The sequence below is a fragment of the Homo sapiens genome, chromosome 17, assembly GCF_000001405.40.
Source record: "Homo sapiens chromosome 17, GRCh38.p14 Primary Assembly".
Lineage (NCBI taxonomy): Eukaryota > Metazoa > Chordata > Mammalia > Primates > Hominidae > Homo > Homo sapiens.
Window position 1 is genome coordinate 76,475,312 of NC_000017.11, and position 23,942 is coordinate 76,499,253.

At 56.5% G+C, this 23,942-nt stretch overlaps 1 protein-coding gene across 26 annotated transcripts in view, besides 8 other annotated features; it reads right to left on the minus strand.

The window, feature by feature from the left end:
• The window catches only part of RHBDF2 (rhomboid 5 homolog 2), a 30,535-nt gene that overhangs the window by 4,419 nt on the left and 2,174 nt on the right, over positions 1-23,942 (minus strand). For 4 of the 26 annotated variants that reach the window (NR_164786.1, XM_011525250.3, XM_047436751.1 and 1 more), the window contains exons 2-10: positions 12,663-12,821; positions 12,401-12,540; positions 6,064-6,234; positions 4,422-4,543; positions 3,771-3,966; positions 3,495-3,698; positions 2,346-2,474; positions 1,869-1,987; positions 1,519-1,713 (exon numbers count right to left, since the gene is read on the minus strand). Coding sequence is in view for 23 of the 26 variants with exons in the window: in XM_011525250.3 (XP_011523552.1) it covers positions 1,519-1,713; positions 1,869-1,987; positions 2,346-2,474; positions 3,495-3,698; positions 3,771-3,966; positions 4,422-4,543; positions 6,064-6,213 (1,115 nt within the window). In the remaining 3 variants the exon portion in view is untranslated. Of the gene's footprint in view, positions 1-1,518; positions 1,714-1,868; positions 1,988-2,345; positions 2,475-3,494; positions 3,699-3,770; positions 3,967-4,421; positions 4,631-6,063; positions 6,235-12,188; positions 12,822-17,750; positions 17,844-23,942 lie in introns of those variants that run through there. The other 22 variants (NR_164787.1, XM_047436755.1, NM_001005498.4 and 19 more) reach the window with 12 other exon arrangements.
• Positions 5,462-5,531: a silencer, noted in NCBI's record as "silent region_9018". NCBI's record gives its function as "represses an Ori minimal core promoter by ATAC-STARR-seq in GM12878 lymphoblastoid cells {active_cell/tissue: GM12878}" and the evidence as "EXISTENCE:reporter gene assay evidence [ECO:0000049][PMID:35858748]".
• Positions 6,352-6,451: a silencer, noted in NCBI's record as "silent region_9019". NCBI's record gives its function as "represses an Ori minimal core promoter by ATAC-STARR-seq in GM12878 lymphoblastoid cells {active_cell/tissue: GM12878}" and the evidence as "EXISTENCE:reporter gene assay evidence [ECO:0000049][PMID:35858748]".
• Positions 6,512-6,561: a silencer, noted in NCBI's record as "silent region_9020". NCBI's record gives its function as "represses an Ori minimal core promoter by ATAC-STARR-seq in GM12878 lymphoblastoid cells {active_cell/tissue: GM12878}" and the evidence as "EXISTENCE:reporter gene assay evidence [ECO:0000049][PMID:35858748]".
• Positions 8,236-8,530: a silencer, noted in NCBI's record as "tiled region #10531; K562 Repressive non-DNase unmatched - State 23:Low". NCBI's record gives its function as "represses a minimal TATA promoter and a strong SV40 promoter by Sharpr-MPRA in K562 cells {active_cell/tissue: K562}" and the evidence as "EXISTENCE:reporter gene assay evidence [ECO:0000049][PMID:27701403]".
• Positions 8,236-8,642: a biological region, named in NCBI's record as "Sharpr-MPRA regulatory region 10531".
• Positions 8,442-8,642: a silencer, noted in NCBI's record as "peak3006 fragment used in MPRA reporter construct". NCBI's record gives its function as "represses an SCP1 promoter by STARR-seq MPRAs in K562 erythroleukemia cells {active_cell/tissue: K562}" and the evidence as "EXISTENCE:reporter gene assay evidence [ECO:0000049][PMID:32103011]".
• Positions 9,922-10,122: a silencer, noted in NCBI's record as "peak3008 fragment used in MPRA reporter construct". NCBI's record gives its function as "represses an SCP1 promoter by STARR-seq MPRAs in K562 erythroleukemia cells {active_cell/tissue: K562}" and the evidence as "EXISTENCE:reporter gene assay evidence [ECO:0000049][PMID:32103011]".
• Positions 16,446-17,311: an enhancer, noted in NCBI's record as "H3K4me1 hESC enhancer chr17:74487839-74488704 (GRCh37/hg19 assembly coordinates)". NCBI's record gives its function as "activates a minimal SCP1, AML or CMV promoter by ChIP-STARR-seq in naive H9 embryonic stem cells {active_cell/tissue: H9 hESC(naive)}" and the evidence as "EXISTENCE:reporter gene assay evidence [ECO:0000049][PMID:30033119]".

Sequence of the window (23,942 nt, forward strand, 5' to 3'; positions counted from 1 at the left end):
CCTAGCTTAAAACCTTTTGATAGCTTTCCACTGGCCTTGGGACAAATTCCAGAATCACCCCCTCTTGCTGGCTGCAAAGCTTTGCCTGACCGACCACCTCTCTGGCCTCTTTGCCTGCATTTCCTGGGATGTACTTTGCCCTTCCAGCCCCAGGGCCTTTGCACATGACATCACAGTTTGTCCTGACTGCACCCCTCCCCACCAGCTGTTCACTCTCCCTCTCTATCCTCCTCCGGGACACCCACCACACCTATCATTGCTTGTTCTTTTCTTTTCTTTTTTTTTTTTTGAGACAGAGTCTCGCTCTGTCACCTAGGCTGGAATGCAGTTGTGCGATCTCAGCTCACTGCAACCTTCGCCCCCAGGTTCAAGCGATTCTCCTGCCTCAGCCTCCCTCGTAGCTGGGATTACAAGCACCCACCATACCTGCCTAATTTTGTTTGTCTTTTTAGTAGAGACCAGTTTTCACTGTGTTGGCCAGGCTGGTCTCGAACTCCTGACCTCAGGTGATCTGCCCACCTAGGCCTCCCGAAGTGCTGGGATTACAGGTGTGAGCCACCGGGCCTGGCCATTGCTTGTTATTTTCTTTTTCTTTTCTTTCTTTTTTTTTTGAGATGGAATTTCGCTCTTGTTGCCCAGGCTGGAGTACAATGGTGCGATCCTGGCTCACTGCAACCTCTGCCTCCCAGGTTCAAGTGATTCTCCTGCCTCAAGCCTCCCGAGTAGCTGGGATTACAGGCATGCACCACCACGCCCGGCTAATTTTTTGTATTTTTAGTAGAGATGGGGTTTCACCATGTTGGCCAGGCTGGTCTTGAACTCCTGACCTCAGGTGATCCGCCTGCCTCGGCCTCAGAAAGTGCTGGAATTACAGGCGTGAGCCACCGCGCCCTGCCTGCTTGTTATTTTCTAATTTGGGCCCAGTGTTTATTGGGCTGCTGCAAATCAGATGCCCTGTTCTTCCCCAAGGGCTCTGCATAGCCTCTCCCAGAGTCCCCTCCCTCCCAGCCCCAGCTTCTTCTTTTAAAGTAGAGGTAGGGTCTCACTATGTTGCCCAGGCTGGTCTCAAACTCCTAGGCTCAAGCAATCCTTCTGACTCAGCCTCCCAAAGTGCTATAATTACAAGTGTGAGCCACGGCGCCCAGCCCTGGCCCCAGCTTCTAACTGTCCTCTGACCGACCCTGCCCTCCCTGCTCCACCCTCTGGGGGTTCCATTTTAGGGCCTGCAGGCAGTGACACTCAATGAACATTTGTTGACTGACTGCTGTCTGGGAGCAAGGCTGGGGACCAGGCTCAGAAAGCATGGGGTGGAAGAGAGGCAGCAAGCACCCCTGGCCCTTCCCAGGTCATGTGCACAACCCTTGGGACAGGGTGCGCCTTCGAGCTTGTCACTACACTCCTGATCCGCAGAAGATGCTCATGAAACACTTGCTGAATGAGTAAGGGGGCGCTTCAGGAGGGCCCAGAGGAATTTGGAACCTTCCAGGCTCTCCTGGGGGCTCCAGGGCGACACCTCACCGGTGGCTGTCGAAGCTCTCCAGCTGCCGCTGCACAGTGCTGCTGATGCTGCGGCGGTAGCTGCGGTTCAGCCAGTTGCCCACCACGCCGAGGCCGTAGTGCCGCTTCTTCCGATCAAAGGCAAAGTGCTTCACCTTGGAGGCGATGCGCTTGCCGCGCCGGGGCCCGGGGACTGGGGCTCGGCCATACTCCTTCCTGGTGGGGATGGTGGCTTTCAGCCTGAATCCCCCACCAAAATACTCCCAGACCCCACCAGGGTGCTCAGAAGGGGCTTGGGGGCCAGGGTGAGGTCTGGGGATGCCCCCAGGCTGGTGGCTGGCCTGGAGGAGGGACTCTGCCCCAGCACTCACAGAGGGATTTGCACCCCATCGGGGGAGACAGGGGAGGCTGAGTGTGGGATCCCTCGGAAGTAGCTGGCAGAGAGTGGGGGGGACTCAAAGACATCATCAGGCATGGAGCTCATTTCTTCCTGGGGTGGGGGACAAGAAAATACAGTGTAAGGAGTCTGTCCCAAACACTGCCCCCCGGAACCTCAATTCAAGGGCAGGACACAGCTGAACAGACGGGCTCTTCACAATGAATTGGGAAGCCACATGCCCGTCAGCCCCAATGGTGACTTTCCCGGGTGGCACTGTGCCCCACCGCAGGTCTTCACCCTACCCAACAGAAAGATGGGGGCCCAGCAGCTCCACATAGGACCATGCCACATCCCAGCAGTGGGCCTCTGGGTCCCTCAGGGGTTCCTGAATATGATCAATGCCAAGGTCACCTCACCCAGCTCCCAGGCCACCCCACCCAACTCCTGCTGTCCCACACCCCATGCTTGCCTTACTAAAAAAGGAGGAGTCAAACGTGTCTGCCCCATCGACCACATCCTCCTCCAGGAAGCTCGGGAAGGCAAAGCTGCGCTTGACCACCCGGCACCGCTGTCCGGTGGCATCCAGCACCGAGCGCCCCTGTGCACGGGCAGAGGCACAGCCATCAGGACCACAGCCTGGCCACCTAGGCCCCCAGCCCCAACACCGAAGGAATCATCAAGCCCATCCGCCTGCAGGCAGCGCCTTGGGAGGAGGGATCCTGCCCAAAGCGTGGAGATTCTGCAAGCTGAACGGGCAAGAGGAGCTCCTGAGACTGGAAGGCCAGGAAATGAGACACCAGCTTCCGTTGGCACACCACTCTTGGCACAGTTTGGAGTCACCTTTCCCTTGGTCCCTGCTGCCCCTCTGCCTTGGGCTGCTGGTACCCTAACACTCAAAGCAACCCACATTCTATACCCTCACTCCCGAGGCTTGGGCCATGTCTCCCTGTCCCTGTTTCTTGGCACGGAATACCAGGTCCCTGCCCACCTTTCTGACCCCATCTCCTGCCACAGCTCCTATAACCACCCTTCACTAAAACCACATCAAACCGCCTGCTGCCCCCTCAAAGCACTGTACTTCCTCTGGGCTCCTGGCCCTTGCATAGGCCATTCCCTCTGCTGAGAATGCTGTTCCCTTCCTTCCCTAGTGAACGTCTCCTTGTGTCTTCTGGGCTTAACTCAATGTCTTCCCTGATAACAGCCGCTCTCCTAAACTGACCACCCTGAATGGTGACCCTCACCCTGGGCTGCGAGCTCAGCCAGGATGGCGATGGCTCTGCACGCGGTGCCCAGCACGTAACAGGGACTTGGAAAACCCGGGTGGATGAGGAGCAAGTATGCATCTCACTTCCCACTTCCCCAGCTTAAGAGTCAGTGCAGAGACCAGGTTCCAAAACTTGGCAGGGGGTCACACGAGATTTAAGACAGAAGGATGGACGCCTGGGTGCTGGGCTTCGGGGTCCCTCTTTGCCCAGGGATCCCAGCACATCCACTGTCCTTGGCACCGTAGGCAGATGCCCAGGTGAGCTTTAGGGGATGCTACTATGAGGAGTGGAAGGGAGGGGCAAGGAAGGGAGGCCGGGCAGAGGTGGGGGCCCTGCAGGAGGGAGCCCCGCACCTTGAGGAGGGCAGCGGCAGCTTGCAAGCTCATGTGGGCCACAGACATTCTCTTGCGGCGTGGCAGGTGGGAGTAGCCAGAACGGACACTGGTGAAGGAGGTGAGGGACAGGACTCCGGGGGTCAGCGGTGGGTGCGGGGCGTGGGGCCTGTCCATCTCCTCCGGGTGGCGGAAGGCCCGGCCCCGGGCCAGCGGATCCACAATCTGGAAGGGAGGGGGGCGGTAAGCAGAGCCATTAGGGTCCCCACCCCTGCCTCCTTTCCCCATGGATCCCACCTTGGGCATCTTGCAGGGCTTTGGGGACTCAGTGCCCTGGAAGGACGGTGCCTCCTGGCTGGGGAGCTCCAGGTCACGCTGGCACGAGGCCTTCAGGCGGCCGTAGCGCATGCTGCAGTGGTGCAGGCTGCGGCGCTGCCACTGCTGCCGCTGCCCCTCCCAGTCGCCGCTGACTCCAAACCACTGGGCTGCGCCCCTGCGGAAGCAGACAAGGGACAGGTGGGCATACGCTTGTCTACGCCTGTGCACCTGAGTGTGTGGAAGGGGTGATGGCACGTGTGTGCCCGCGTGCCTACAGGGAGGTGGGGGGCGGATCTGCCTGTGAGGCCCCTGGCTGGAGCCCAGTGACCAGATGAGCAGAAGCAGGGGATGACGGGAGCGTGAGGAGCCAGGCTAGGGCCCCAGGCACCCCCACACTGATCCACCCAGCTCCTCGAAGCCCCCCAGCCTCCACACCGTGATATTCCGCAAAGCACATACCCATTTCCCCATCTATACCATGATAATAGGCCACAGGGAGACATTGCTCATTAATGCCGGCCTCCTCCTTCCAGAGAGGGGACGCAGGGACCAGGCCCAATCATGTCCAGGCCCCGAGAATCCACAGGTTGCTGGGTGGGGGGTGCTGGGCTTGGGTGTAGGGGGGCTCACTTGCGGATGCTCTGGGACAGTGAGGCCTGGCGGCGGAAGCCAGGGCGCTTCTCTGAACTCTCCTGCCATCGGCTGCGTGGCTCCTGGAGGCTGACGCTCTTCAAGTAGGCTGGGTTCTTCCTCTTGGGGAGGAAGGAGGGAGGGCAGGCGGTGGTGTGTGCAGCCCAGGTCCTGGGCTGGCTTTTCTTTAGCCTCCTATTCTGAAAACCCTGAGAACAAACTTCAACCCTGATTTATGCCCCAATTTGCTTTCATTTGGAAATATATATATATAATGTGTGTGTGTGTGTGTGTGTGTGTGTGTGTGTGTTTGTATATGTATATATATATATATATATATTTTTTTTTTTTTTTTTTTTTTTTTTTTGGAGATGGAATCTCACTGTATTGTCCAGGCTGGAGTGCAGTGGTGTGGTCTCGACTCACTGACACCTCCGCCTCCCAGGTTCAAGCGATTCTTCTGCCTCAGCCTCCTGAGTAGCTGGGACTATAGGCATGTGCCACCACACCCGGCTAATTTTTGTATTTTTAGTAGAGACGGGGTTTCACCATGTTGGCCAGGCTGGTCTCGAACTCCTGCCTGACCTCAAGTGATCTGGCCGCCTCGGCCTCCCAAAGTGCTGGGATTACAGGCATGAGCTACCATGCCCGGCCTATATATATATTTTTTGGGACAGAGTCTTGCTCTGTTGCCCAGGTTGGAGGGCAGTGGCACCATCATAGCTCACTGGAGCCTCGACCTCCCAGGCTCAAGCAAGCCTTCTACCTCAGTGTCCTAAGTAGCTGGGATTACAGGCATGTGCCACCACACCCAGCTCTTTTTTAATTTTTTTTGCAGAGACAGAGTCTTGCTATGTTGTCTAGTCTGGTCTCGAACTCCTGGGCTCAAGTGATCTGGCTGCCTCAGCCTCCCAAAGTGATGAGATTACAGGCATGAGGCGACCTCGCCCAGCCTCATTCTGAATTTAAAATCGCCATTGTCTAACTTTTCTCCGTCAAGGCCAGCGTGTGTTTTCCTAACTCCTCATCCAGTCCCTCCCCTCTGCACCATGACGCTCCTGCCTGCTGCTGTGTCTTCTGCAGAGCTCTCGGGTGAACGGGGGGCGTTAACATCGCTTCCCTTTATACTCCAGACTGTGCAGGAAGCCCACGCTGCCACAAGCCGGTTTTCAATGAGCTCTTTATGGGGCACTAGACCAGACTGTCAGAAACACTGATCTGTTCTCGTCCTCCCAAAGGAAGCGGACACTGCCTAGGCGGGCTGCTGATGCCAGGGAGACACTGTCCCCTGCTCACCCATGTCAAAGAAAGCCCCCAGCCCTCAGAAGAGAGACTGAGAGTCCAGGCCTAGGGGGTGAAATGAGAACAGCCAGGGCCCCAGGGTTACCAGCAAGCACTTTCTTGGGGCTGGCCCTTCCTGTGTGCCCCTGACCACGATGAGAGTGAGCCCGGTTCCTGGCTTTACTCCCTGTGATATTTCGGGCCCAGGAAGGAGGGGGTAGGGCCCGAGTCAAGGGCTGCACAGACAGCAGCTGTGGCTCAGGAAGGAGCCCCTCTGGGAAGTGAAACTGACCAGAAAGTGTCACGTGGGTACATCTGTTACCTACGGCAGAACAGTGAGCCCCCAGGCCAGCCCCCTTACCTCAGGCAGCATGCTGTCCTGCTCGCCAGGGGCCTGGGTCTCTTTCTCGGGTGGCGGGATGGTGATGGAGAGGTTGGGTGGCTTCCGGCTCTGCAGGCGGCTGCTGGACACAGAGGACACGCTCCCGCCATTCTTGTCAGCAGAGGCCATTGTGGGCAGGAGGCGGGAGGGCTGGAATGGAGACCGGGAGAGCAGCGGTGGGCGGTGCGGGGTGGCGCAGTGTCAGGACCCTGACGCCAGGGCACGCAGCCCAGACCAAGAACCAACTTGCCTAAAGTTGGTTCAAACATCTCTGGGCGGCTGGGCGCGGTGGCTCACGCCTGTAATCCCAGCACTTTGGGAGGCCGAGGTGGGGGGATCACGAGGTCAGGAGATCGAGACCATCCTGGCCAACATGGTGAAACCCCGTCTCTACTAAAAATACAAAAAATTAGCTAGGCGTGGTGGCACGTGCCTGTAATCCCAGCTACTCGGGAGGCTGAGGCAGGATGGCTTGAACCCAGGAGGCAGCGGTTATAGTAAGCCGAGATCGCGCCACTGCACTCCAGCCTGGCGACAGAGCAAGACTCTGTCTGAAAACACACACACACACACACACACACACACACACACACACACACACACACACAAAACCAAAAACAAACCATCCCTGGGGACTAAACCCAGCCTGAACCAGGCTGAACCTCAGGCCCAGTGGTTGGAGTGAGGTCTATTTCTGACCATCATTTGCATCCCGGACCATATGGGTCTGGGAGGTCCTCAACTTACTACCTCATTCAATTTCTGATCTCTCCGCTTGAGGCAAGAACCAAACCCTGAAAAGAGCATGAAGATGCAGGCCAGGGACGGTGGCTCACACCTGTAATACCAGCACTTGGGGAGGCCGAGGTGGGCCGAGAGATGAGAAACCTACTGTGCTGGTCCCTGTCCCCCAAGGCCACCCAGTTTATTTTTCTTGTCTTTTTTCTGTAGAGGTGGGGGTCTCTCCATGTTAGCCAGGCTGGTCTGGAACTCCTGGGCTTAAGCCATCTGCCTGCCTTGGCCTCCCAAGTGCTGGGATTACAGGTGCAAGCTCACTGTGCCCAGCCCCAGTTCATTTTTCAAAGATAACTAAAACTGGCTGGGTGCGTGGCTCATGCCTGTAATCCCAGCACTTTGGGAGGCCGAGGTAGGTGGATCACCTGAGGTCAGGAGTTTGAGACCAGCCTGGCCAACATGGTAAAACCCTGTCTCTACTAAAAATACAAAATTAGCCAGGTGTGGTGGCGCATGCCTATAATCCCAGCTACTTGGGAGGCTGAGGCACGAGAATTGCTTGAACCCAGGAGGCAGAGGTTGCAGTGAGCCAAGATCATGCCACTGCACTCCAGCCTGGGCGACAGAGTGAGAAAATGTCTCAAAAAAAAAAGATAACTGAAACTGCCACCTGTCTGGCACTTTTCTCCCCCATAGTGAGAACACTGTTTAACAATAAAAGTGGCATATGCTCATTGAAAAAAAAAAAAAATCACACAGCTGTGTGTGGTGGCTTACACGTACAATCCCAACACTTTGGGAGACCAAGGTGGATGGATCACTTAAGGTCAGGAGTTCGAGACTAGCCTGGCCAACACAGTGAAACACCATCTCTACTAAAATACAAAAATTAGCCAGGCATAGTGCCTCATTCCTGTAGTTCCAGCTACTCGGGAGGCTGAGGCAGGAGAATCACTTGAACCCGAGAGGAAGAGATTGCTGTGAGCCAATCTCATTGCACCCTCCACCTCCCAGGTTCAAGCAATTCTCTTGCCTCAGCCTCCCAAGTAGCCGGGGTTATGGGCGTGAGCCACCAAGCCCAGCCCACACTCTATCATTTTACCTGCATTGTAGACATCTTTCCCTGTCAACACATACGGACAGACCTACTTTTTTTCTTTTTTCTTTTTTTTTGTGATGGGGTCTCATTCTGTCACCCAGATTGGAGTGCAGTGGCGCGATCTCGGCTCACCGCAACCTCCACCTCCCAGGTTCAAGTGATTCTCCTGCCTCAGCCTCCCAAGAAGCTCGGATTACGGGCATGCGCCACCACGCCCAGCTAATTTTGTATTTTTAGTAGAGATGGGGTTTCTCCATGTTGGTCAGGCTGGTCTCGAACTCCTGACCTCAGGTGATCCACCTGCCTCGGCCTCCCAAAGTGCTGGGATTACAGGTTTCAGCCACCACACCCGGCCCTAGGCCTCTTGTCTTTTTTGATGAATGCAAAGATTTCATAAGTGGAATGCACCAAGATTTACTTAAGTCCAGACTGCTGGTTATTTAGGATGTTTCCGGAATTTGAGACATGGGTCTGATGTTGCAACTAACACCCTTGCATACACCGCGTGTGCTTGTTTAACTATTACAAGACCAAGTTCTGGAAGCAGAATGGCTGGGTTGAAGAGTAAGTACATCCCAAATTTCAGTGGCTGTTGCCCAGTACCCCATCTGGGGCTTTCCTGTGCGTGTGCCACCAGTCCCCAGTTCCCCTCTGACTCCACCAGAATTAACACCCTCTGCCTGTTTCATTCTCTTCGTTTCGTCTCTTGCTCTGCCCCATGACCGTCTTCTTGTTAAAACCCCCAGCTGTGGCCGGGCGCGGTGGCTCATGCCTGTACTCCCAGCACTTTGGGAGGCCAAGGTGGGCAGATCACCTGAGGTCGGGAGTTCGAGACCAGCATGACCAACATGGAGAAACCCCGTCTCTACTAAAAATACAAAAAATTAGCTGGGTGTGGTGGCGCATGCCTGTAATCTCAGCTACTCGGGAGGCTGAGGTAGGAGAATTGCTTGAACCCGGGAGGCAGAGGTTGCAGTGAGCCGAGATTGCACCATTGCACTCCAGCCTGGGCAACAAGAGCGAAACTTCGTCTCAAAAATAAAAATAAAAATAAAAATAAACCCCCCCAGCTGTTTCCTCTCCTTCACATCCCAAGGTTCCTGGGCAAGTTTTGTTTTTCCTCTCCTTGTACGAAGCCAGGGACTCCATACCCATCTCCCTGGGAGCCCTTCAGCCAAGGGCGTGTGTGGGCTGAGGCGTGGCATGCACGGGTCGGCGAGACAGCAGCCATCTGAACCTGTCCTCCTCCTCCATCTCTACCTCACCTCCACCATCTCCACCTCACCTCCACCATCTCCTCACCTGGAGGCTCACTCCACTCTCTCAATTCCTCTACCTGCTGCCTCAAGCCCCCTGAGACTGATCATTCTCCGCACCGCAGCTGGGGTCACCTCCCAAAAGCATAGATCACACCTGTTGCTTCCCTGCTCAACTCTCTCCCAGGATTTCCTGTTCTCACCCAAAGTCCAAACGTCTCACTGGGACTTCCAGGACCTCTCTTCGTCTCTTCCTGTGCCCTTGCTTACCCCTGACCCAGCTTTCCTGGGCCCCTCATTGTCTCAAACTGGCCAAGCTCTGCTGGGGGTGGGGTTCATGATCAAAAGCAATGGAGCCGGCAGCGCATACTGGGCCAATGGTCTTGCATTTGCTGTCGGGTTAGTCACCTGACAACTCATCACCCAAGTCCTGACCTGCACAAGGGGGAGAGTAACGGTTCCTCCCCAGAGAAGCGTCTGGAGGAGCAAATGAGTGGATGATGTCACCGGGCACAGTGGCTCACGCCTGTAATCTCAGCATTTTGGGAGGCTGAGGTGGGCGGATCACCTAAGGCCAGGAGTTCAAGACCAGCCTGGCCAACATGGTGAAACCCCATCTCTACTAAAAATACAAAAATTAGGCTGGGCGCGGTGGCTCATGCCTGTAATCCCAGCATTTTGGGAGGCCGAGGCGGGCGGATCACCTGAGGTCGGGAGTTCGAGACCAGCCTGACCAACATGGAGAAAGCCTATCTCTACTAAAAATACAAAAAACATTAGCCAGGCATGGTGGTGCATCCCTGTAATCCCAGCTACTCGGGAGGCTGAGGCAGGAGAATCGCTTGAACCTGGAAGGTGGAGTTAGCGGTGAGCCGAAATCTCGCCATTGCACTCCAGCCTGGGCAACAACAGCAAAACTCTGTCTCAAAAAAAAAAAAAAAAAAAAAAGAGCTGGGTGTGGTGGTGGGCAACTGTAGTCCCAGCTATTCGGGAGACTGAGGCAGGAGAATCACTTGAACCCAGGACGGGGGGTGTGGTTACAGTGAGCCGAGATCTCGCCACTGCACTCCAGGCCTCCAGCCTGGGCGACAGAGTGAGACTCCGTCTCAAACAACAACAAAAAATGAGCAGATGGCTTCACACACTGAAGCACTGTGTCCACACAGAAACCTGGACAGGAAGTGCCCGGCAGCACGGCTCTGCAGAGCCGGAGCAGGAAAACAGCACAAGCGCCCGTCAGCAGATGAAGGCACAAATATAAAATGTGGTTGAGCCACACAATGGAGCATCCTTCAGCCACAAAAGGAAGGAAGTCCTAACAAAGCTACAACGTGGACGAGCTTTGAGAACATTGTGTCCAGGGACAGGAGCCAGTCACGATGGCCACCTCTGCATGAGTCCATTCATATGAAAGCTCGGAATAGAAGAGGGAAATCTATAGACAGAAGCAGGGTAGTGGTTCTTAGGACTGGGAAGGTGGGGACTGGGCAGGGGGTGACAGCTAAAGGGTGCAGGCTTTCTTTAGGGGGTGATGAAAGCAATCTGAAACTGTGGTGATGGTGGCACAATTCTGTGAATATGTATATATATGTACACACACACACACACACACACACACACACACACACACATATAGTTTTTGAGACAGAGTCTTGCTCTGTCACCCAGGCTAGAGCGCAGTGGTGCGATTTTGGCTCACTGCCAACCTCCACTTCCCAGGTTCAAGCGATTCTCCTGCCTCAGTCTCCCGAGTAGCTGGGACTACAGGCGCAAGCCACCATGCCTGGGTAATGTTTGTATCTTTAGTAGAGATGGGGTTTCACCATGTTGGCCAGGCTAGTCTCGAACTCCTTACCTCAAGTTTGCTTCGGCCTCTCAGAAAGTGCTGAGATTACAGGTGTGAGCCACTGTGCCCAGCCTCTGTGAATATATCAAAATCACTGAAGGTTGGGAGCGGTGGTTCATGCCTGTAATCCCAGCAATTTGAGAGACTGAGGCAGGAAGATCACTTGAGCCCAGGAGTTCAAGACCAGCCTGAGCAACATAGTGAGATCCCATCTGTATAAAAAAATTAAAAAATTAGCCAGATATGGTGGTGCGTGCATATAGTCCCAGCTACTCAGGAGGCTGAGGCAGAAGGATGGCTTGAGCTAGGAAGGTCGAGGCTGCAGTGAACCGTGATCGCGCCACTGTACTCCAGCCTGGGTAACAGAGTGAGACCCTGTCTCAAAATATAAATAAATAAATAAAAACACTGATGGTACACTTTAAATGGGTGAATCGACTGGTGTGTGAATTCTCTCTCAATGAAGCAGGTGCTCCATAATGTTGGGCCTCTGTCCGAGCCAGTCACTCTGTCCCAGACCATCACACAGAGGAGGGGCTGGCTCTTCTCAGCCTCCTGGTTGCAGTTCAAGTGCCCTCCTGCCCCACCTTGAGCAGTGCCGGTCCCACCTCGCTTCCTGCCTTTTTTTTTTTTTTTTTTTTTTTGAGACTGAGTTTCATTCTTGTTGCCCAGGCTGGAGTGCAGTGGCACGATCTGAGCTCACTGCAGCCTCCGCCTCCTGGGTTCAAGCAATTCTCCTGCCTCAGCCTCCCGAGTAGTTGGGATTACAGGCATGCACCGCCATGCCCAGCTAATTTTGTATTTTTTAGTAGAGACTGGGTTTCTCCATGTTGGTCAGGCTGGTCTCAAACTCCTGGCCTCCACCCGCCTTGGCCTCCCAAAGTGCTTGGATTACAGGCGTGAGCCAGCATGCCTGGCAAATTTTTTTTTTTTTTGAGATGTAGTCTCACTCTGCAGCCCAGGCTGGAGTGCAGTGGCATGATCTTGGCTCACTGCAACCTCTGCCTCCCAGGTTCGAGCGATTCTCCTGCCTCAGCCTCCCAAGTAGCTGGGACTACAGGCGCGCACCACCACGCCCAGCTAAATTTTTTGTATTTTTAGTAGAGATGGGGTTTTGCCATGTTGGCCAGGCCAGTCTCGAACTCCTGACCTCAGGTGATCCACTCACCTCGGCCTCCCAAAATGCTGGGATTACAGGCGTGAGCCACCGCGCCCGTCCCTTCCCTGCCCTTATTCCTCCCTCTCGCTCCCTGAATTGACTTTCTTCATTCACTGTCCACCGCTGTTCAGACAGAGAGCGTGGGCCCCGCAGGAGGTATCTGGACGTGGGCACAGCAGCCAGCGCCCTGGGTCCAGCCACCCGGCCGCCCAGCTTCCTACCTTCGAGTCTGAGTTTGCCCGCGGCTTCCTGGGTCTTGCTGTGAAGGGCTTTAGAGCATGTTCTTGTCTTCTCCTTGCTCTGTACAGATGCTCCGGTGTCAAGCCTCAGTCTGTGGAAGGGTGGCTGGACAGACAGGTGGCTGGAAGGACAGATAGACAGCTCCAGGCCACACGGTGCAGCTTCCTGGGTACTCACAGCTGGAAGAAAGGAGGGCCGGCTCCAGGGGGCATGCCCACCACTGAGTGCTTTAACCTTCCTCACCTCAGTCTCCCCATCTGTAAAATGGGGCCAATTCCACCTGCCTCACTGGTAAGGGATTAAAGGTGCTAATCAGGCATCTCCGAGTGCCAAGCAGCGAGGGGCACTGGCCTCAGGGTGTTCACAGCCAATCACCTAACAACAGTCCTCTGGTCTGGGAACCTGATTGGAGCAGAACATTAGAGTCAAGATGGCCCCTGTTATTTTTCTCAATATTACTTGAACAGAACAGAAACATTTAACTTTCGGCCAGGGGCAGTAGCTCACACCTGTAATCCCAGCATTTTGGGAGGCTGAGGCAGGTGGATCACCTGAGGTCAGGAGTTCGAGATCGGCCTGGCCAACATGGTAAAAACCCATCTCTACTAAAAATACAAAAGTTAGCTGGGTATGGTGGTGCACACCTTTAGTCCCAGCTACTCGGGAGGTTGAGGCAGGAGAATTGCTTGAACCTGGGAGGCGGAGGTTGCAGTGAGCCGAGATTGTGCCATTACACTCCAGCCTGGGCGACAGAGGGAGACTCTGCCTCAAAAAACAAACAAAACCACATATTTTTGGGCAGGGTGCAGGCGCTCACACCTGTAATCCCAGCACTTTGGGAGGCCAAGGTGGGGGAATCATGAGGTCAAGAGTTCGAGACCAGCCTGGCCAACATGGTGAAACCCTGTCTCTACTAAGAATACAAAAATTAGCCGGGGCTGGGTGCAGTGGCTCACGCCTGTAATCCCAGCACTTTGGGAGGCTGAGGAGGGTGGATCACGAGGTCAGGAGTTCGAGACCAGTCTGGCCAACATAGTGAAACCCCATCTCTACTAAAAATACAAAAAAGTAGCCGGGTGTGGTGGCGGGCGCCTGTAATCCCAGCTACTCAGGAGGCTGAGGCAGGAGAATCACTTAAACATGGGAGGCGGAGGTTGCAGTGAGCCAAGATCGCGCCATTGTACTCCAGCCCAGATGACAGTGTGAGACTCTGTCTCACAACCAAAACCAAAACCAAAAACAACAAAATAATTAGCTGGGTGTGGTGGGCCTGTAATCCCAGCTACTCGGGAGGCTGAGGCAGGAGAGTTACTTGAACCCGGGAGATGGAGGTTGCAGTGAGCCGAGATCGCGCCACTGCACTCCAGCCTGGGTGACAGAGCAAGACTCCGTCTCGAAACAAAACAAAACAAAACAAAAGAACCCCACATATTTAACATTCAAAGTCCAGGAATTACTAACTGCCTTCTGATACTTAAGGCAAAGTTCAAATGATCTGGAAGTGTTTTGTTGCTTTGATTGGTAATTTATTGAACTTAAAAGTCACACAACATAAAATCAACCATTTTAAAGCACGAAACCCAGGGGCATTCCTGTTTTTTTTTTTTTTTTGAGATGGAGTCTCGCTCTGTAGCCCAGGCTGGAGTGCAGTGGCATGATCTCAGCTCCCTTCAAGCACCGCCTCCCGGGTTCACGCCATTCTCCTGCCTCAGCCTCCGGAGGAGCTGGGACTACAGACGCCCGCCACCACACCCGGCTAATTTTTTATACTTTTAGTAGAGACGGGGTTTCACCATGTTAGCCAGGATGGTCTCGATCCCCTGACCTCGTGATCCGCCTGCCTCGGCCTCCCAAAGTGCTGGGATTACAGGCGTGAGCCACCGCGCCCAGCCGCCTGTTTGTTTTTAAGAAGTCCTGCCCAGGCCATCCTTTGAGGGGAACCCCAAGATGCCGGAAGCCCTCCCGGGGCCGGGCAGGATTTAAGTCCTTAACTGTGCGGGGCCTTGTTTGGCCCTTTACACACATTACCCTTCAAAACACCTTCCAGGGTGACATTAGCGTCTCTTCCATTCTGTAGATGGTGAATGGAGGCTCAGAGGGGTTTGGTAACTTGCCCAAGCTCACATAGCCAGGAAAGGGTGTAGCTAGGACGCCCGATGTCTGGCTCCAGGGCCTGGAGGCTCCTAGGGGACGGGCTCCTCTTGCCCTAAGACTGGGGCTAGAAGACCCCCTCTCAGGGAGCCAGAGAGGGAACTTGGTCCAGCATTCCAGCGCTTTCCAAACCAAGCTCCTCAGAGGCCTGGGGGTCCCCAGCGGTGCCCAAGGGGCTGCTATGGGGCAAACCAGAGGCTGGGGAGTAGCCCACGCTCCCCATTGATTCCACTGAGCAATGTTCCTTGACCCCCTGCATATTTGGGACATTTGGGGAGCAGAATGCTGGGTGCAGAGGAGAAATCTTGAGGCGGAGCTAGGATGTCTCCCGCTTCTTTAAGGCTAGTCCAGCAGCGCTGGCTTCGCCTCCTTCCATCCCGAAGTGCTGGGGAGTCCTGACCCCACCCCCCAGGGCAGACTGCCCGGCTGAGTATGACGAGGTCCTCAGAGATCAACCCACTGGGCTGGGTTGGTGCCAAGGAGCCCTGGCAGCCACACCGGGACCCCACTCGGTTGAAGCTGTGGCTAGGTCCCCTCATCCTAAGCCTGCTCTGGGGACAGCTCCAGGACAACAGCCTCACCTGGGACCTCTGCAAGAAAAGTTCATAGCTTGGCCTCCTTTGGGACCAGGGTACACCAAGAGGGCATGGGGAGGGCACTGCCCTGGGGAACTGGCACTGGGGGATGGGAGGCAAGCAGTGGAAGCAGCTGGGTGCAAGGGTGGGGCCTCCAGACTCCAGCTCAGTTAAGGTCGCCAAGCAGGTAGGATCTTTCTGGAACCCAGATCTGATCACACCTCCCTGGAGGTCCCTTCAGGCCTGCCCTCCCTGCCACACCCTCACCAGACAAAACACTTCCCTGTGCCATCCCCAAGCTCTCACCTCCTCTCATCTGAAGCGCTGCGCCTGGCACACCAGGCTCCACCTTGCCTGCCTGGCCAAGCCCTACTAGGAAAGTAAAATGTCACCTCCAGAGAGAATCAACCACTTTATTGCCTGCTCTCTCCAGCATCTCGCGGATTTACCTACATGTAGGAGTCCCCTACCCAACCCCGGGCAGCCCAGGATCCTGCACCCAGTGAGCCCTCATCAATGGCTAACTGAATGGGAAGCTAGTGAGAGGGTGGGGCTGGCGGTGGTCAGCCTATGTCAGCCCTGGACAGAAGGGGTCTCCCTCATCCTGCAGCTGGTCCAGGAAGCAGCCCTCTTTGGAGGGCTCCACTGAGAGCTCCTGCCCTGCTGGCTCCGTACCCACAGCAGGGCCAGGATGGAGGACGCTGCATGCTGTGCCAGAACGAGTGTCTAGTGGACCTCCCCACTAGACTCCCCACTAGACTCCCCACCTAGCTCCCTAGCCCACCACAGGCACCGCTTTTGGTTCTAGGGTTCTGCCCAGCCAGCCTCCCTGTCCCAAGGCCAGGCCATCCCAGCTGAGACCCCTGCCCAGGATCCGCTGCATGGCTGGCATCTGTGCCAACCTCCTGATGAGAGAGGCTCCCAAAACCCAACACTGAGGGAGAGGAGAGCCTGGTCAGCCCCAGGGCAATCAGTTGGGGGGGGGTCCCGAAGAGAGGTGGCCTGACACCAGACAGCAGAGACAGGGCCAGGGCGGGTGGGCATGTCTTCCTGGGCAGGAGCCTGGCATCGGGAGTGCCATCTGAACCGCAGAGCACAAGAGGCCTGGGCAGCGGCCTGAGAGCAGCTCCACCCTCTGGCCTCAGTTCCCTTCTCTGAGGGAATGGGACAAGGTCACGGCCCAGCTTTGACACCCATGAAGCCTAAACATGGAGTATGGAAGCATGACTTTGCACCAGCCACTTTCCACCATTGAGATCAACTGCCTCCAACTCGTGCAGAAGTTGGGGTGGGGGTGCAAAGGCCCAGCCCCTTCCTTGGGGCTCAGCGGGGAAAGGAGTGGGGACTGTCAGACCCACTCTGGCCTTCCTCATGGCTCAAGTCCAGATGGCAGGAACCAGACAGAAAAAAGCGCTGGAGAGCTGGAGCTACCCCACCCAGCACTTATCTCCGAGCCCTAGAGATGCTTGCTCACTGCAGGGGAAATGGTGACATCCTGGGACCAGGCTTCCTCCTGGCCCGCAGTCACATCCGCCGCTCTCTCTCTAAGACCCCCAGGCCCGCCTCCGCACCCAGCCCACAGGCGGAACACTGCCACCTGCCCAGCCAGATCCTGGCCTCACTGTGGCCAACCCCAGAGAAGGGCCTTCAGCCCCAGCCCAGCTGGGAGATGCCAAAGAGACCTGGGGAGAGGGACTGGGGCTTAGGGTGGGACAGACTCTATTTCCTCCTCCTTTAGGGTGGGGCGGGGGAAATCCTGAAAAAAAGTGAAGTGCAGAGTTCAGATCACCCCCAGGTCCCATGGGTTGAGGCCTCTGTACCCTCCCCTGCCCAGGCTCAGGGCCTCCCCCACTGCAGATAGCTTTGGAGACAGCATAACCCAGCTGGCAGCAGCGGACCTCAGACACATCCAACGAAACACAGACTCAGACACCATTTACCACTGCTGCCCAGAGAATCTGGTTTCCCCACAAAGGGTGAGGCCAGGCACTCCCAACCAAGCCTGTTCCGCACAGCTGGGTAAGCAAGGCCACCCCCAGGGAGGTCCCCAACAGCTCTACCAGCCAGTCCAGGCAGGGTACAAGGGTCCCCCCGCCATGCGGACTGTACAAGCCACACTCCTCCACGCGGGCCCAGCCCACTGCCCCTCCCAACTCCCCCAGGTGCAGTTCCCTCTCTCCACCTGGTGCCACCAATCTCCCTGCACTCCCCACCCCCACACAAGTGGGTTTCTAGAAGCTCTGAGTCTTGCTAATGAAGGGTGCAGTCCCCACAAGCCCTGGGCTCTATGGGCTTTATGGGGCAGGGCAGGGAGAGCGTGACAGGTGCAGCCCAGAGGGAAACAGGCAGAGGCTTGATGCAAGGGCTGAGCCTGCGTGTGGCCAGAAATGGGGACACAGGGGTGGGACGGGACAGGCCCTTGGATAAGAAGTAAGCAGCCCCCTCCCCTCCAGACAGGAAAGAGGGAGACCATTATTATCCACTGGATATGACCAGGAAGTTTAGGGGGCTCAAGCCATCTGAAGACAGGATGTGGGGAAACCACCCCCTGGGCGGGAAGCTGCTTCCAGCCTGGCTCCGGAGCCGCGGGTGGGCGAGGCGTCACCTGGTGTCCCTGGGAGTGGGCAGTCAGGACAGAAGGAGGGCGGTGGGAGGCTTGGGGCCACGTCTTCGCGGCTGAATCACAGGATGCTAGGGTGAGGGCTGGGGACAAGGAAACTGCTTCTCTCCCCAGCTCCCTTGCCACAGAAACTGAAACTCATTTTCCCTGCCTGTGGCCCTGCTGGGAACCAGGGCATTTTTAGAAAGCTGCAAAGAGGAAGCTGAGCCTCACCCACTGTGCAATCCCCAGCAAAACCCGTGGTACTGCTGACCCCGGGGTTTCTCCAGCCCCAGAGGCCCGGAAGGACAGCTCATGGCACAGCTGTTCTTACACCTCCCCATGCATCCCCAAGCTGGGCCTCACGTAGCCAGTGACGCTGCCCTGGCAAGAGGTAGAAGGGGCAAGAGTAAAGGGCAGGAAAGTGGCAAGAAGGCTGGCTGGGGGCCTGGGGGCAGAATTTGGGGAGAGTCATGAGAGGCAAAACAGAAGGGCAGGGTTGGCATGAGCTGCGGCGTGAGCTCCACCGGCAGAGTTAGCAGAGGGGAGAGGGGGCTGGGGACTCTGAGGGTGGGACACCCAGCTGTCTGTCTCCAGGAGCCAAACAGGAGCCACTCTCCCTCCCTCTCAGCACCACCTCCCCAGAGGCCGGAGCTGGTGGCAAGTGGGCGCAGACACGATCTCAACCCACTCCGCCGGTACACGCTTCAGCCCACAGCTGCTGATGGAGAGAAACAAAACGGCCTGTGGGTTCACACAGCTCCCCAGACATCCCACGAACAGCGGGTCCTGGCCCAGAGAGCTGTTTCTTTCTCCTCCTCGCCCCTCCAGGGCTTGCCTCGAACTCAGTTCAGAAGATCAAGAACCCCCAGGGGCAGCTTCAGGGGACTGACCATCCCCTGACTTCTCTGGGCTTTTTCCTATCCGGCCCCAGGCTCTGGGCTCCCCTTAACCCGGTTAGAGTGGCTGGGGCGTCATAAGCCAACCACAGACACGGGAAGCGGGTGCTGTGCTCCAGGGAGCCGCCAAGATCAGGGGTGTGAGGTGTGAACCTGTGTGTGTGTGTTGCGGGGGGCTGGGGGGTGACATGTCATGTTCTTAGGGTGGTGCAGCCCCTGACGCCCCCTCTGCACCAACCATCTGGGCTTTCTCAGGACCAGTTGCCAGCAGGGATGGCAGAGATACAAATGCCCCCTCCTCGGCTGGGGTTCCTGGTCCAGGAAGCAGGCTGAGCTGGGGGTGCTGGAGTCCTGCATCCCCGAAGCCCAATGTGCAGCAGCTGCTGGCAAGACACAGGGGTGGGCACCAAAGGAGGTGGCAGTGCAGCCAGGCCTCGAGCTGGACACAGCGCTGGGCCCCACCCACCACAGTGCCCTCCCCTGGAAATTTCTGGATTTCAAAAGCTGCTGGTGGAGGCTGGGCACAGTGGCTCACACCTGTAATCCCAGCACTTTGGGAGGCTGAGGTGGGCAGATCACCTGAGGTCAGGAGTTCTAGACTAGCCTGGCCAACATGGTGAAACCCCATCTCTACTAAAAATACAAAAATTAGCCAGGCATGGTGGCGGGTGCCTGTAATCCCAGCTACTGAGGAGGCTGAGGCAGAAGAATCGCTTGAACCTGGGAGGCGGAGGTTGAAGTGAGCCGAGATCACGCCACTGCACTCCAGCCTGGGCGACAGAGCAAGACTCCATCTCAAAAAACACACAGACAAAATAAAACAAAGCTGCTGATGGAGGCAGGCAAGTGGCAGCAGCTGGGCGGGGATGCAGGTGCCTTCCACATCCCAGGGAAGAGGCAGCAGCTCCCGAGCCTGGGGCTGGACTGCAGGCTTTGGGGCAATGAAGGGAAGGGGGCACGCACAGCAGCCGGGCCCCAGTTCTCCTGCTCCCTCAGCATCGTTGTGAAGGGGAGGAGTCAGAAGTGGCCCCTGGGGGCCAAAAGGCCCTGTCCATTTGGGGTCAGACACCAGGACACTGGAGGGTTTCCGGGGTGGGGTGTGCACCACACAGTGCCACAGCAACACAGGCTCGGTGGGAACTGCCCTTTGCTGCAAACGTTCATGAAAGTCTGCCTCTCTGCATCCCGGCAGCCGGGTTTTCACGGGTCCTTGGAAGCAGTGGTGGTCCAGCACAAGCCCAGCGGTTGGGGCAGGATGAGATGCAGCCTGGGGTCTGTGTGAGAGGTCCGTTTCACTCCTGCTGGAGGCTCCTTGACACTAAGGTGTGACCAGGCCATTTCCGTTTGTGACTGTCCCATGTACACAGACAGGGCACTGTCCTGTGCTTACAAAGTAGGAGCCCACCCGGTTTCCACCTGCCTCCAGACAGTGAAAATCTGTCCCGATGGCAGAAGACAGGGTCACAGGCCCATCTCTAACCACTGTGCGATCTTGGGCAAGCCACTTAACATCTCTGAGCCTCAGTTTGTGTATGCATAAGATGCTAGTATCCTCCCAGGGTCTAAGATCTATGTGACTTTGTCACCATGAACGAGGGCTCACCCCAGGAACAGCTCAGCTGAGGTACAAGGTCTCACCTATTGTACAGAGAGGTAAGCACCTTGCCCAGTGCCACCCAGCCAGAAATAGGCCTGGACTGGCTGGGTGTGAGCATGCAGAGCCCAGGGAGCCGACGGCATCCCTGGGCCCTCACCTCGACACACTCAGAGCGCTTCTGGAGGCCCAGTTCTGCCTCCGGCTGCATGGAGCCCCTCAGCAGGGAGGGAAAATGCCAGGCAGACACTTCTGAGCTTGTAAACGGTCATTAAGGAACTAATAAACCTGATTTCCCAGAACGTTGCCCTGGGGCTCCCTGCTTCCCAGGGAAGAGGCTGGCCCTAGCCCCAGTGACTGCCAGGGTTTCAGGACACGGGGACACCAGGTTGCTTGTCCCAAGCAGGCCTGCAAAGCCACGTGCTTATGGCCCACACCTTGCTTCGGGGCAGCGTGGAGCTCTCTTGCTGAGGAATGAGGAGGAATAAGGGGCCAGAGATGGGACTCAAACCTGCCTGGGCCACCTACCTGCTGGGAGACTTTGGGCAAGTGGGTGCTGCAGAGCCTGCCTCCTCTGCTGTGAGATGGGTTGATGCCCCACCACGGAGGGAGCCAGGGAAGATGACAGCAGATATGAATGTACAGTGCCTGGCACACACCCAACGCCCAGTTGGAAGTTTCTTTTATTCCTGGCTGAGCTCTGCCACCATCGCTCACTTAGTCTCTATCTGAGCCACGAGCCCCACAGGGGACAGATCTCTATTCGACAGGTGGGGAAACTGAGGCTCAGAGAGATGAAGTCACCTGTCCAAGGTCCCACAGTTAGGGAGGTGGTGGGGCTACAACCCCAGCCAGGGTCCCGCGCTCTTAACCTCCACACTCTGCAGCCTCTTGCCACCCTGGAACTGGTGAGGGGCAGGAGAAAAAGAACGGGTGAGGACTCTGAGTGTTTGGGGTGCTGGAGTGAGTCCTGCATGCAAAGGCCTTTGATTCATGAAGAAGGGACAGCACCTAACTGCCTGGGCAGCACTGCTCAGCTTGCAAAGGACTTTTACAGACATGATCTCATTTAGTTGAGGCTAAGGGTGAGAGGCGGCTGTCATCATCCTCACGGGCTGGCAAGGTCAAAAGGGGCTTAGGCCAGGGTTCAAAGTCCTGTTCCCACTCCAAACCCCACAGCAGATCCTCAACCCTCCTCTTCCAGATCTCTTTTTTTTTTCTTTTATTTTTTGAGACGGAGTCTCGCTCTGCTGCCCAGGCTGGAGTGCAGTAGGGTGATCTCGGCTCACTGTAAGCTCTGCCTTCTGGGTTCAAGCGATTCTCCTGCCTCAGCCTCCTGAGTAGCTGGGACTACAGGTGCATGCCACCACACCTGGCTAATTTTTTTGTATTTTTAGTAGAGACGGGGTTTCACCGTATTAGCCAGGATGGTCCCGATCTCCTGACCTTGTGACTGCCTGCTTCAGCCTCCCAAAGTGCTGGGATTACAGGCGTGAGCCACCGCGCCTGGCCCCAGATCTTCTTATGACTAAATGGAGCTGACAACCTGGGGAGACCCACTGGGAGAGGGAAAAGGGTTTCTTGCCAGAGACCGGGGCAGGAAGCCATCCCTGCACCACCTGCTGGCACAGGGTTGGCGGCCACACGGGGGAGGCAGAGGAGAAAACCAAGACTTGAGGCAGCTTTACCCTGCTCCCAGCCCCAGGAACCTACGCCAGGGAAAGCACAGCTGAGGGGCACCAACTCCATGAGCTGCCCCCCACCCCACTGTCAGTGACACACACACACTGGCAGGCCAGGAAAACCCCTGGGCAGAGGTCAGCAGTTCATGCCCAGATGGAAACCCACCCTCACTTCCCTTGGCCAGCAAGGCACTGAGGTCCCCCTACCCCAGACACAGCCACTCCTACAGAATAACAATAACAACAGTGCCACTGCTCCATATGCGTGTTCCCATCTAGTCCTTGACAGCCCACGAGGCAGGGCCTCGGCCATCTCCCAAGTCTGTGCCATGGACCGGCAGCCACGCCCCTACCTGAAGCCACCCTAACACCATTATCACGATGGCTCCCCGCACTGCTCCTGCCATGGCCGGGCACTGCACTGCAGGCTGCACACCTTTACCACGGGAGTCCTCACCTCACACAACCCTCCAGGTAGATTACTGTTAGTGAGCCCACTGTGCAGCTGGGGAAACTGAGGCACAGACTAATTAAGTGAACTCATCCTACTGAGCACACACATGGACGACTGTGCCCAGCAGCCCCTGGACCTTGGCCCAGCTCCTGAAGTTTGGAATCCTCCTCCATCCTTTTCTGCTGGTCACAAGGTTCCCCTCACACTCCAAACAGTGTCTCTGGCCCACCTCCTGCACTGCCCACTTGGCTGAAACCACTTTCCTGCAGGAGCCGGGCACTGGGGCTGGAACTGCCTTCCAGTAGCTTTTGGACCACAAACAACTCCCAGCTGGGCGCCCGGATACATTTGCTGAAGGAGGGGCCGTGGACACGGTGGCGCTTTGTACTTCCCGGAAGATGTGTTTTTCCTTACACCCATCCTAGGTCTCCTGGGAGGCAAAACGACGTTCCGGGCAGGCTTGGTTTCCCTGTGAAGCCGCCCGTGCCCTGAGAGCTGTCCCTGCCTAGCCACCACCACCGCCGAGGTCAGCCTGTACTTGGGCAGGCGCAGACGTCCCCGCCACTCCTCCCCCAGCCTGGCTCAGCTGGATAGGAAACTGGGAGCCGCTTCCGACAGCCAGCGCTTCCACAGCCGGTGCAGATGCCTGAGCTCACTCTGGAAATCCCCTGGGGCAGATGGGGCAGCGCCGAGGCCTGCTCCAGAGTGCGAGGCACAGAGATCTGAGGAGAGTGTGGAGGGGGAGAGGCAGCCAGGAGGGCACACGTCTTCCCTGTGCTGTGCCAGCGGCAGGCGGGGGCCAGGCCCAAAGGGAAGCACCAGCCAGCTGAGCCATGCCACTCGCACACTCACGGGCAGGCGTGCACAGCTCCTTGACTTCTGCTGTCATCTGTCACCTTGTCTGGGGCAGAGTTTACACAGCAAGGACAGAAACCTTGGTGGAGAGGCCACCACAGTATCCAGAGCTGAGGCCACAGGAAAAACAGCACCACTGACCCCAGAGCAGGACTCGGGCCCCAAGTGCGTCACCCAAAGCATTTGTAGTGTGATTTATTCCTCCTCTTATAGGAACAAAAGTCCCCCTCCTGGGCTGGAGAGAAAGAGAGTGTGTGTGTGTGTGTGTGTGTGTGTGTGTGTGTGAGTCTGTGTGTGTCTGTGTGTTTGTGTGTGTCTCTGTGTGTCTGTTTGTGTGTGTCTGTGTGTGTGTGTGGTTACACCAGGTACAGACAGGTAGGAGTCACTGAGGGTTTGTTCGTGGGGCTCTTGGGTGGGGCCTGAGGGTGGGCAACTGGGTTCACACCCGAGCTCCACTGCCGACTTCCTGAACAACTTTGTACAAGCCTGGGTGCTCAGCCCTGTCCCTTGAGAGGCTCACAGCAATGGAGGCCACTTTTGTTTTTTGTGCAAATGAAAAGGTGGGAGTTTCACTTCAGCCTTTTACAGTCAAGAGACCAAAAAAACAAAAACAAAAACAAAACAAAACAAAAAAAACAAAAGCCACCAACACCAACAAAAAGAACCCAAGCTCGAAACCTCCACCAGGGTTCCCAGGCAAGAAGGCTGGGTCCA